General features: G+C 37.0%; 1 long non-coding RNA gene across 1 annotated transcript in view; it reads right to left on the bottom strand.

Annotated features, from left to right (window-relative positions):
* The window catches only part of TACR3-AS1 (TACR3 antisense RNA 1), a 75,707-nt gene extending 75,479 nt beyond the window's left edge, over positions 1–228 (bottom strand). The window contains exon 1 of the long non-coding RNA NR_186501.1: positions 106–228. This is a non-coding gene — a long non-coding RNA (TACR3 antisense RNA 1). The remainder of the gene's footprint in view (positions 1–105) is intronic.
* Positions 229–12,206: the final 11,978 nt, after the last annotated feature.

Genomic DNA, 12,206 nt, shown 5'->3' with positions numbered 1-12,206 from the left:
AACTAATCTAATAAATTGGGTTTTCCAAATTATTGAAACACCTTGAGAACTAGTGCCTGGGTAGGCCTGGAGAAATGACTCCAGGAACAGCATTACAGAACTCACCTGCCCAGTGGTAACAGTGCCCAGATTGCTCTTCTCCATTATCCAGCCAGAGTTCCAGATCAGCCTGAATACTTCACCTCTGGGAAGACTTTGCAGAACCTCCAGATTTATGCCACCTCTATAACCTGTGTAATATTATTACAATGCATATTATGTTCTATTTCACTTACAGTCAGCCCTCCTTATCTGTGGGTTCCACAAACATGGATTCAACCCACAGTAAAATGAAAATATTTGGGGAAAAAATTAATGTTTGAGTCTGTATTGAACACGTAGACTTTTTCTTGTCACTGTTCCCTAAACAATACAGTATAACAACTATTTACATAGTATTTACATTATATTGGGCATTATAAGTAATTAAAGATGATTTAAGTATATGGAAAGATGTATATAGGTTATATGCAAGTACTGTGCCATTTTATATAAAGCACTTGAACATCACAGATTTTGGTATCAATGAGGGGTGCTGAAACCAATTGCCCATGGATACCAAGAGACAGCTATATTTGTTTCAATGTGTACCTCTCCTTCTAAACTCAGTTCTTAAGCATATAGTATCTTTATAGCTATACACCTAGTGTCTATCAGACCCTAAACTATGGTAGGCCCTCAATACATTTTATTGTTATAGGTAGATAGATAGGCATGAGTAGGGCAGGAGAGGGCTCTCCCTCCACCCACTAGAAATGTCAAGTGATGTTTTAAAAATTGTCACACTGCCTCTCAGAAAATGATAATTCAGCAACCGGGGAGAGACAATCTTCTGATGGTCCACACCTATTAACATTAAAGTGTTATTAAAGGCAGACCCCAGAAAGAAGAAACTTACTGGGCATGCACATTAAGAGATAAAAACGGCAAAATATTATCTTCCACGTACCCACAACTGGAAAAAAGGAAGAAAGCTTCAGGTGGGCATATGTACTCTTCCTAAACACACTGCGCATGCTCACTTCCCAACTGTAGAGAGGGCTCTGCACATACGGGAAGAATCTCGGGAAAGAGGTGAACCTATAAAAGGCCAAGAATCATGGTTGAACGGGACATTTGACCTTCTCTCTTAAACCTTCATGTGCCTGCTTGGGTCTCTTCCAACTGCACCTTCCTTTCTTTCCTGTTCTAAGGCCTTTTTAAATAAACTTCCACTCATGCTCTGAAACTTGCCTCAGTCTTGTTTTCTGCTTCATGTCCCTCAGTCAAATTCTTTCTTTTGAGTAGACAAGGGCTAAAGTTGCTTGCAGACGTATACAGATTTCCTACTGGTAACTTGGGATAACTTAGATCTCTGCCACTACTAACAGTATTAAATCTTTATTTCATATCAGTCATAATTTTAAGCATTTTACATGAATTAACTTATTTAATACTCATAATTTCCCTGTGAAAGAGGTCTATAAGGAAAATGGCTGTTCTTCAGTCAGGAGTAGGCCAAGGTAGACATCCAGTACAGTATGACACAGCAGGTTTGGAGCCCAGGAGCACAACCCCATGCATTACCTAGTGCCCTTATGTGCCTGCCACTGTTATCCCCACATTGCCTAGACACTCACATAACTGGAAGGGACAATGTTCCTGGTTTTTGCAAATCCAGCAAGCCCCCTGGTGGCTCTACCCCTTAGCATTAACCATCCCTGGAGCAGGTGTCATAACTGTAGAAATGTAAGTTACAGCCCTTGCAGAGCACAATGCTCAAGCCTTGAATAACACCTGAGTTGCCTTCGTTCTATTAACAGATGAGGTTGATCAAACCAGGAAGGTGGTACTGCAGACCCGTATGGCCCTAGACATATTAACTGCTGCCCAAGGTGGCACCTTTGCTCTTTTGGGACCACAGTGTTGTACCTTCATCCCTGACAATCAACAAAACATAACAGCAGCTTTTCAAGGAAATCAAAGCAGTTGAGAGCCTTACTCATGAATCCCTACAGATATGGTGGGTCTCTGGGCTCTGGCCCATGCTGGATCCTAATAATAATGGGCAGCATAGCGGGAATATTAGTCATGGGTGTTGCTTCCTGTATTGCTGCTGTGGCCTCTGGGTCCAGGGTTCTGCCCTGCGGGCATGTTTCCCCACTACGAGAACTCCCTCAGCATAGGGGGTGGAGTGTAAGAAAATGGCTGTGCTTCAGTCAGGAGTGGGCTGAGGTAGACATCTGGTACAATATGACACAGCAGGTTTGGAGCACAGGTGCACAACCCTGTGCATTATGTAACCATTTAATGTAACCTGTTTGAGCTCTTACCTGGCTTTGAGCTACTATTGCCTGTGAATAATATAACTGCACTGCTGACTCTGTAGGAGAGAGAGAATAAAGCCATGTCCCAACTTTCTTTTTTTTTTTTTTTTTTTGAGACGGAGTTTTGCTCTGTCGCCCAGGCTGGAGTGCAGTGGTGCGATCTCGACTCACTGCAAGCTCCGCCTCCCGGGTTCACGCCATTCTCCTGCCTCAGCCTCCCGCGTAGCTGGGACTACAGGCGCGCACCACCATGCCCGGCTAATTTTTGTATTTTTAGTAGAGACGGGGTTTCACCGTGTTAGCCAGGATGGTCTCAATCTCCTGACCTCATGATCCACCCGTCTCGGCCTCCCAAAGTGCTGGGATTACAGGCGTGAGCAACTGCGCCCGGCCCATGTCCCAACTTTCTACAATCCCTCAAGAGTTCTTTCGGCTACCTGCCACCCATCCCCCAATTCCTCTCAGACCCCAGCTCAGGTTAGAACCTGACAAGGTTTAATTTGAATATAGGCAGTCTAGATCCAGAGTTCACATGCTAACCATCAAGGTACCTTTCCTCATTGTAAAGATAATGTCTCCCAAAGATCACACCTTTAGAAGGTTAGAGGAAAAGCAATAACAAAAATGAATGGAATAACACTACATAAGAAGACTGAAGCTCCAAAGATTCAATCAAGCTGTAGAGATTAAGCTAACTTAATGGAACTTTACAGGAAAGATTTAAGGAGCACATATTGATGCAAATAGTCATCTATCACAGATGATTACTTTTTTACAATCACGCACAGAAAAAGCTAGAGCCTTTTTTTAAAGGCTTTAAATGTGACACTCAAAATAATTCAGATATGACAGGTCATGATTTAACGTGCCTTTTGAGCTCACCGCTCCCTGATATAAAGCTTAATTAAACAAAGTGCGTTATTGTTTTCGTTTTGTTTTGTTTTGCCTTTTTTATGATTTTTATTTTAAGTTTGGGGTACATGTGCGGATTTGTTATGTAGGTAAACTTGTGTTATGGAAGGTTGTTGCAGGTTTGTGAGTGGAGCTTTGGAGAAGCATTGCTAGAAAATGCAGTATTTCAGGAAGATAAGAAAAAAGGGCTATTGTCTTTTTTAAACAGTTAAATATTTTTAAATAAATGTTGGGTATTAAGAGGACTGAAGAATAAAAGCAATAAGAGAGTAACCAATTCTCTCTTTCTCCATTTAAAATATGATTTCAGTGAGAAATTCCTAAAAAGATAAGCAGCATGACAAAGAAGACAAAGGGAAGATGCCAGACAACCTGGAAATTGGATAATGGAGACCCAGGGAGGGTATAAAAGAGAAACTACTTTGTAATAATTTATATTGATTATTCCTTTCAATAGATTTTGTGGAGTAGTTCAATATTCCCATAATCCATTCTTTGTCACCTGAAGGAAAGGTGAATGAGATAGCTCAGAAGTTCCATAACAAGGCAGTGGCAGGTTTGAGACCATTGCTTTGTGTTTCTTAATTTACCTGCCTTTTGTGTGTATGATGAGGATTCCTGCCCTCTTAGCCACTAGTAAAAAAAAGAGATAAAAAGTATCAAGGTTTTTTTTTACTATCAAATTTTCTTTTTTAACTTGGCCATCTCTGTCACCAAATACATTCTTACACAGATATAGTCTTAAAATTTGTACATAGTACAAAGCTATCCACAATATTTGTGTTGAATACAACACATGTATATACAAGCAAGAAACTAACATGAATAACAAGTGATGAGCTAAAGATTCATTCTCAATTAGCCTTTTGTTTTTATAAAGGGTGTGTGGCTGTTTTTCATGTCAGTGATCGTTGGTGTGAAACCAATATAGAGTCAGGAGAACATACTCATTGTAATCATACATAATTTAGGACTAGATGATGCTTTTTCAACTTCATTGTGTATAAAATAGATTTAATTATGTTGAAGATGATGTACAGAAATGAGTTACTTAGTTACTGAATGAACTAGCCAAAATTTCAGCATTCATATCTCATCAACTGTTGCTATTTATCATTCAAACCTTTAGTAACTCTCAGGAATCTGAACTTTACTGACTTATGTGAGAAATGCACAAGCCACAGAAGTATTCACAAATTTAGAAATCTACTAAGCTCTCAGAATATGTATTTGCAAGATAAGGTGAACTTTTATCCCCTGGGACAAACCTGTGTTACACTGATTGACTCAGCATTATAATTAGTAGTGCCCTTTCACTATTGATATGCTCTTTATTAGATGATGGATTAAATGGCTTTCTGGGTCATTGATTACAAGATTCTATCTTATAACCATATTTTAATATTAAATATTTATCAAGATGTTCATGTACTATATCAGCAAAAAATTACTAAATGTATATAAGGTGGTTTTGACCTTGCCACTCAATTATTTACTAAAAGACTAAGATGCTCTCTCAAGTAAATACCTCGCTTTGGTAAAGTTCCATTACTAAAACTCTCAAGTATCTGAACTTTTCATTATGCTTCCCTATACTTCTTTTTCAATCCAGTTTGTCAGTGCCTGTTCATAGCCTAATAGAGCAGTTCTCACAGTATTAGGGGTCATCAACACTCTGTCAGTGCGTACACGACTATTTTTAAAATAAACTAAAATGCTGTTTGTCTTTTTCACTCTTATTCTCTAATGAGTGTCTGGTACAGTTTTCCAGAGGTTACATGATGTGTGATGATATCATCACTCTGATAGCTAATGGAAAGTATGACTGTATATTCTGTAATGTTCCAGGAGTTTCTGAGGTTTAGGTTTAGGTTATAAAAGGGGGCATATGTTCAGAGATTAACTCAATTTTTTCTCAGTACTTCTATTGTGTTTTTACTAAGTACCTTTTCTTATATTTGCTATAATCTGTATAAACTTATTGTCATACAATAAATCAATATTTTAAAATCCCAATGATTTCTTTATGACTACACAAAAACAAGTAGTAATCTTGTTTTTCAAAAATGTTTGTAAATTTGGTGAAAGTTTTCTATATTTTATGTGGAGCTGTTATTATCTTAGCATTTTAACGTATGTAATTCCAAAATTAAAAATGCATATTTATTTTTTTTCCATCAATTTTATTTTAAGCTCCGGGGTACATGTGCAGGATGTGCAGGTTTGTTACACTACACAGGTCAACATGTGCCATAGTGATTTGCTGCAAGGATCAACCCATCACCTAGGTATTAAGCCCAGCATCCATTACCTATTCTTCCTGATGGTCTCTCTCCCTCCACCACCACCCCCCAACAGGTCCCAGTATGTGTTGTTCCCTGCCATGTGTCCCATATGTTCTCATCATTCAGCTCCCACTTATAAGTGAAAACATGTAGTGTTTGGTTTTCTGTTCCTGCGTTAGTTTGCTGAGGATGACGGCTTCCAGCTTCATCCATGTCCCCACAAAGGACATAATCTCATTTCTTTTTATGGCTATATAGTATTCTATGGTGAGTATGTACCACATTTTCTTTATCCAGTCTATCATTGATGGGCAATATGGGTTGATTCCATCTCTTTGCTATTGTGAATAGTGCTGCATTGAACATACATATGCATGTACTGTATCTTTATAATAGGATGATTTATACCCTGTAATGGGATTGCTGGGTCAAATGGTATTTCTATCTTACAACCATATTTTATCTTATATCACCTGTATATTAAGGTATTTCTATCTTATAACCATATTTCTAGATCTTTGAGGAATTGCCACACTCTTCCACAATGGTTGAACTAATTTACATTCCCAGCAACAGTGTATAAGTGTTCCTGTTTCTCCACAACCTCACCAGTGTCTGTTGTTTCTTTACTTTTTAATAATTGCTATTCTGATTGGTATGAGATTGTATCTCATTGTGGTTTTGATTGGCATTTCTCTAATGATCAGTGATGTTGAGCTTTACTTCATGTGTTTGTTGGCTGCATGAATGTCTTCTTTTGAGAAGTGTCTGTTCATGTCCTTTGCCCACTTTTTAATGTGGTTGTTTGCTTTTTTCTTGTAAATTTCTTTAAGTTCCTTGTAGACACTGGATATTAGACCTTTGTCAGATGGATAGATTGCAAAAATTTTCTCCCTTTCTGTAGGTTTTCTGTTCACTTTGATACAACAACAGCAAAAAAACCCTTCAGGCCAATATCCCTGATGAAAATGAATGTGAAAAATACTGGCAAACCAAATCCAGAAGCACATCAAAAAGCTTATCCACCACGATCAAGTTCAATTCATCCCCACAATGCAAGGTTGGTTCGACATATGCAAGTCAATACATGTAATTCGTCACATAAACAGAACTAAAGACAAACACTGCATGATAATCTCAATAGATCCAGAAAAGACCATCAATAAAATTCAACATCCCTTCATGTTAAAAACTCTCAATAAACCATGTATTGAAGGAACATACCTCAAAATAATAGGAGCTATTTATGACAAACCCATATTCAATATCATACTGAATGGGCAAAAGCTGTAAGCTTTCCTCTTGAATACAAGCCCAAGACCATGATGTCCTCTCTCACCACTCCTATTCCACATAGTATTGGAAGTTCTGGCCAGGGCAATCAGGCAAGAGAAAGAAAAAAGTGTATTCAAGTAGGAAGACAGGAAGACAAATTATCTTTGTTTGCAGGTGACCTGATCCTATATCTAGAAAATCCCATCATCTAAGCCCAAAATCTTCTTAAGCTGATAAGCAACTTCAGCAAAATCTCAGCATAAAAAAAAAAATCAATGTGCAAAAATCACTAACATTGCTGTACACCAACAGGCACACAGAGAGCCAAATCATGAATGAACTCCCATTCACAATTGCCACAAAAAGAATAAAATATCTAGGAATACAGCTAACAAGGGATGTGAAGGACCTCTTCAAGGAGAACTACAAACTACTGCTCAAGGAAATCAGAAACGACACAAACAAATGAAAAAATATTCCATGCTCATAGATACGAAGAATAAATATTGTGAAAATGGCCACACTGCCCAAAGTAATTCAATGCTATTCCCATTAAAATACCATTAACAGTCTTCACAAAATTAGAAAAAACTATTTTAAAATTTATATGAAACAAAAAAAAGGGCCAGTATATCCAAGACAATCCTAAGCAAAAGGAACAAAGCTGGAGACATCATACTACCCACCTTCAAACTATACTACACGTCTACAGTAACCAAAACAGCATGGTACTGGTACAAAAACAGACACATAGATCAGTGGAACAGAATAGAGAACTCAAAAGTAAGACCACACACCTAGAACCATCTGATCTTTCACAAACCTGACAAAAACAAGCAATGAGGAATGGATTCCCTATTTAATAAATGGTGCTGGGAGAACTGGCTACCCATATGCAGAAAATTGAAACTGGACCCCTTCCTTACATCATATACAAAAATTAACTCAAGATGGATTAAAGACTTAAATGTAAAACCCAAAACTATAAAAACCCTAGAAGAAAATCTAGACAATACTATTCAGGACATAGGCACAGGCAAAGATTTCATGACAAAAACACTGAAAGCAATTGCAACAAAAGCAAAAAAATTGCAAATAGGATCTTATATTTTTTCTTATGAATCATTCATTGACTTCAAAAGAGAGGAATGCACGCCAAAAAAATTTAAAAACTGGGCAAAACTGTAAATGATACACAACAATATGAAAGTTACCTTTCCCTTAACTTTAAACATACTAATAATTTACCTTGCTACGTATTATGTAGTATCATGCAACAGAATATTTTCAAATAATATTACACCAGTTATGCTTCAGTGTCATTTTGAGACTATCAACAGTTTAAAATAAAAGAAATTTAGAACCATTTAAAGGCCAATATATTAAGTGCTGACAAAGATATGGAGCAACAAGGATTCTCATTCATTCCTGATAGGAATGCAAACTGGTTTGACCACACTGGAAAACCATTTGACAGTTTCTTAGAGAGGTACACAAACCGTTATCATACAACTTACAATTTCATTACTAAACAGTTACCCAAATGAATTGAAAATTTATATTGACACAAAAACCTCTACATAAATATTTGTAGCAGTTTTTTCATAATTGTCCCAAACTGGAAATAACCAAGATGTCCTTTAATAAGTGACTAAGTAAAAACCCTGTGATACATCCATGCAATGGAATTCACTACTCAGCAATAAAACAGAATGAACTATGAATTCATGCAACAACATGGATAAATTTTAAATACATCTTTCAAATAGAAGAAACCATAACCAAACCTTATGTATTATACAATCCCATATATGTAACATTTTGGGAAAGGCACAAAAACTATAGGAACGTGAAACAAATTAGTGATTGTCATGGCTTGTGGGAAGATTCCTACTATAAAAACACTGTATGCGGGAAGTTTTAGGGTGATAGAATTGTTCTGCATGTTACTGTGGTGATGGATACATTTCTTTATGCATCTGTCAAGACCCAAAGAACTGTATACCACACAGAGTAAATGTTACTATATGCCAACTTTTAACAATTAACTAGATTTTGGGGATCCAAACCCATTTGTTTCTAGTTTTGAAAGCAGACTATGAAAAAATGAATCTAACTGTATTACAAATGTATTGTGTAAAATCTCACTGAAGAGGGTGAGGGAAAATAGTCTGATCTATGTAACTTTGGGAAACAGTGTATTAACTGGGTATTTTAAGGCTAAAGTTTTTTTTTTTAATTAGAAAACTGGCACAAGACAGGGATGCCCTCTCTCAACACTCCTATTCAACATAGTGTTGGAAGTTCTGGACAGGGCAATCAGGCAGGAGAAGGAAATAAAGGGTATTCAATTAGGAAAAGAGGAAGTCAAATTGTCTCTGTTTGCAGATGACATGATTATATATCTAGAAAACCCCATCGTCTCAGCCCAAAATCTCCTTAAGCTGATAGGCAACTTCAGCAAAGTCTCAGGATACAAAACCAATGTGCAAAAATCACAAGCATTCTTATACACCAATAATAGACAAACAGAGAGCCAAATCATGAGTGAACTCCCATTCACAATTGCTTCAAAGAGAATAAAATACCTAGGAATCCAACTTATAAGGGATGTGAAGGAAATCTTCAAGGAGAACTACAAACCACTGCTCAAGGAAATAAAAGAGGATACAAACAAATGGAAGAACATTCCATGCTCATGGATAGGAAGAATCAATATTGTGAAAATGGCCATACTGCCCAAGGTAATTTACAGATTCAATGCCATCCCCATCAAGCTACCAATGACTTTCTTCACAGAATTGGGAAAAAACTACTTTAAAGTTCATATGGAACCAAAAAAGAGCCCGCATTGCCAAGTCAATCCTAAGCCAAAAGAACAAAGCTGGAGGCATCATGCTACCTGACTTCAAACTATACTATAAGCCTACAGTAAACAAAACAGCATGGTACTGGTACCAAAACAGAGATATAGACCAATGGAACAGAACAGAGCCCTCAGAAATAATGTTGCATATCTACAACTATCTGATCTTTGACAAACCTGACAAAAACAAGAAATGTAGAAAGGATTCCCTATTTAATCAATGGTGCTGGGAAAACTGGCTAGCCATATGTAGAAAGCTGAAACTGGATCCCTTCCTTACACCTTATACAAAAATTAATTCAAGATGGATCGAAGACTTAAATGTTAGACCTAAAACCATAAAAACCCTAGAAGAAAACCTAGGCAATGCCATTCAGGACATAGGCATGGGCAAGGACTTCATGTCTAAAACACCAAAAGCAATGGCAACCAAAGCCAAAATTGACAAATGGGATCTCATTAAACTAAAGAGCTTCTGCACAGCAAAAGAAACTACCATCAGAGTGAAGAGGCAACCTACAGAATGGGAGAAAATTTTTGCTATCTACTCATCTGACAAGGGGCTAATATCCAGAATCTACAATGAACCCAAACAAATTTACAAGAAAAAAACCAACAACCCCATCAAAACGTGGGCGAAGGATATGAACAGACACTTCACAAAAGAAGACATTTATGCAGCCAAAAAACACATGAAAAAATGCTCATCATCACTGGCCATCAGAGAAATGCAAATCAAAACCACAATGAGATATCATCTCACACCAGTTAGAATGGCAATCTTTAAAAAGTCAGGAAACTACAGGTGCTGGAGAGGATGTGGAGAAATAGGAACAATTTTACACTGTTGGTGGGACTGTAAACTAGTTCAACCATTGTGGAAGTCAGTGTGGCGATTCCTCAGGGATCTAGAACTAGAAATACCATTTGACCCAGCAATCCCATTACTGGGTATATACCCAAAGGATTACAAATCATGCTGCAATAAAGACACATGCACACATATGTTTATTGTGGCACTATTCACAATAGCAAAGACTTGGAACCAACCTAAATGTCCAACAATGATAGAGTGGATTAAGTAAATGTGGCACATATACACATGGAATACAATGCAGCCATAAATAGATGAGTTCATGTCCTTTGCAGGGACATGGATGAAGCTGGAAACCATCATTCTCAGCAAACTAATGCAAGGACGAAAAACCAAACACCACATGTTCTCACTCATAGGTGGGAATTGAACAATGAAAACACATGGACACCGGAAGGGGAACATCACACACCGGGGCCTGTTGTGGAGTGGGGGGAGAAGGGAGGGATAGCATTAGGAGATATACCTAATGTTAAATGACAAGTTAATGGGTGCTGCACACCAACATGGCACATGTATACATATATAACAAACCTGCACATTGTGCACATGTACCCTAAAACTTAAAGTATAATAAAAAAAAATAAAGAAAAACAACCACCGCAACCAACACCAATCAAGCCAGAAATCTATATCCGGTGAAATATTCTTTGAGAATAAAAGTGTAATAAAGATAAAAAATAAAATAAAATAAAATTAGACACAAATACTGTACCCAATGGCAAATTTGATTCTCACAAGAGTATAGTTTAGTTATTCAGAAACCATTTTAGATGTATACTGGGGTATGCATATAAATAAATCAATGACTCATTAGTTAAATGAATTGTAGATAATGGGAGTCAGAGTTCCTACTGTCAGAAAAAGAAATTACAATAAATAATACAGAAGGCTAGAATAAACTCTGTGGTGCTGAATTTGAGCTGGATATACCAGTATATACTCAAACATTTTAATAAATAGACAAACAAATATAGATATATCTATATAGGCACAGGCAAAGTTTTTTTGGATTTTTTACATACAAATATTTCCTGACTAAATCGGCCTATCAGACAGGATAGAGGCTTTAGAGTCAGTGACACTCCCATAGCAGTGAGCATGCTCTGTGCCCAGATAGTCTTTCCCAAATACCATGCTTTAATGAAGTGAACCGGGTACCCTCAGAGAAATGGTTAATGATAGGGATGAGGGCAGGGAAAATTCAGGATGAGCTTGGAGGAACTGTCATTCCAGAAAAGATACAGGAGCCAACCTAAAAGAGCTCCCAATTGCCAAAGATGAAACACTTTGAGCAACAAAATAATGACAGTATTAAATTATATTCCAAAGATTGAAATAATCATTCATGAACCCATGCTGATATATATAAATAATTACATAAATAAATAAATAAGCAAACAACTGGGGAAATGGAGAACTCTTCTTTACAAACCAATTTCAAATAATAAATGTGGAGAAATGAAGGAACCATTAGAACATCACAATAATTGCTGCAAGCAAAATCCTCTGACAGATGCTAAGATTAGTGGAAGAAACTTTTAGGAAAAATGAGTATTTACATATCTCTCCAAAAGTACTGTTTAACTATTGTATTGGTACTTCTCTGAAATATTTATTAATTATTATGGTGATATTAGCCTACACTC

This window comes from Homo sapiens, chromosome 4 (assembly GCF_000001405.40).
Source record: "Homo sapiens chromosome 4, GRCh38.p14 Primary Assembly".
NCBI classification, from domain to species: Eukaryota; Metazoa; Chordata; class Mammalia; order Primates; family Hominidae; genus Homo; species Homo sapiens.
Note: the sequence above shows the minus strand (reverse complement) of the source record. Positions and strands in the feature narration are given on the sequence as shown.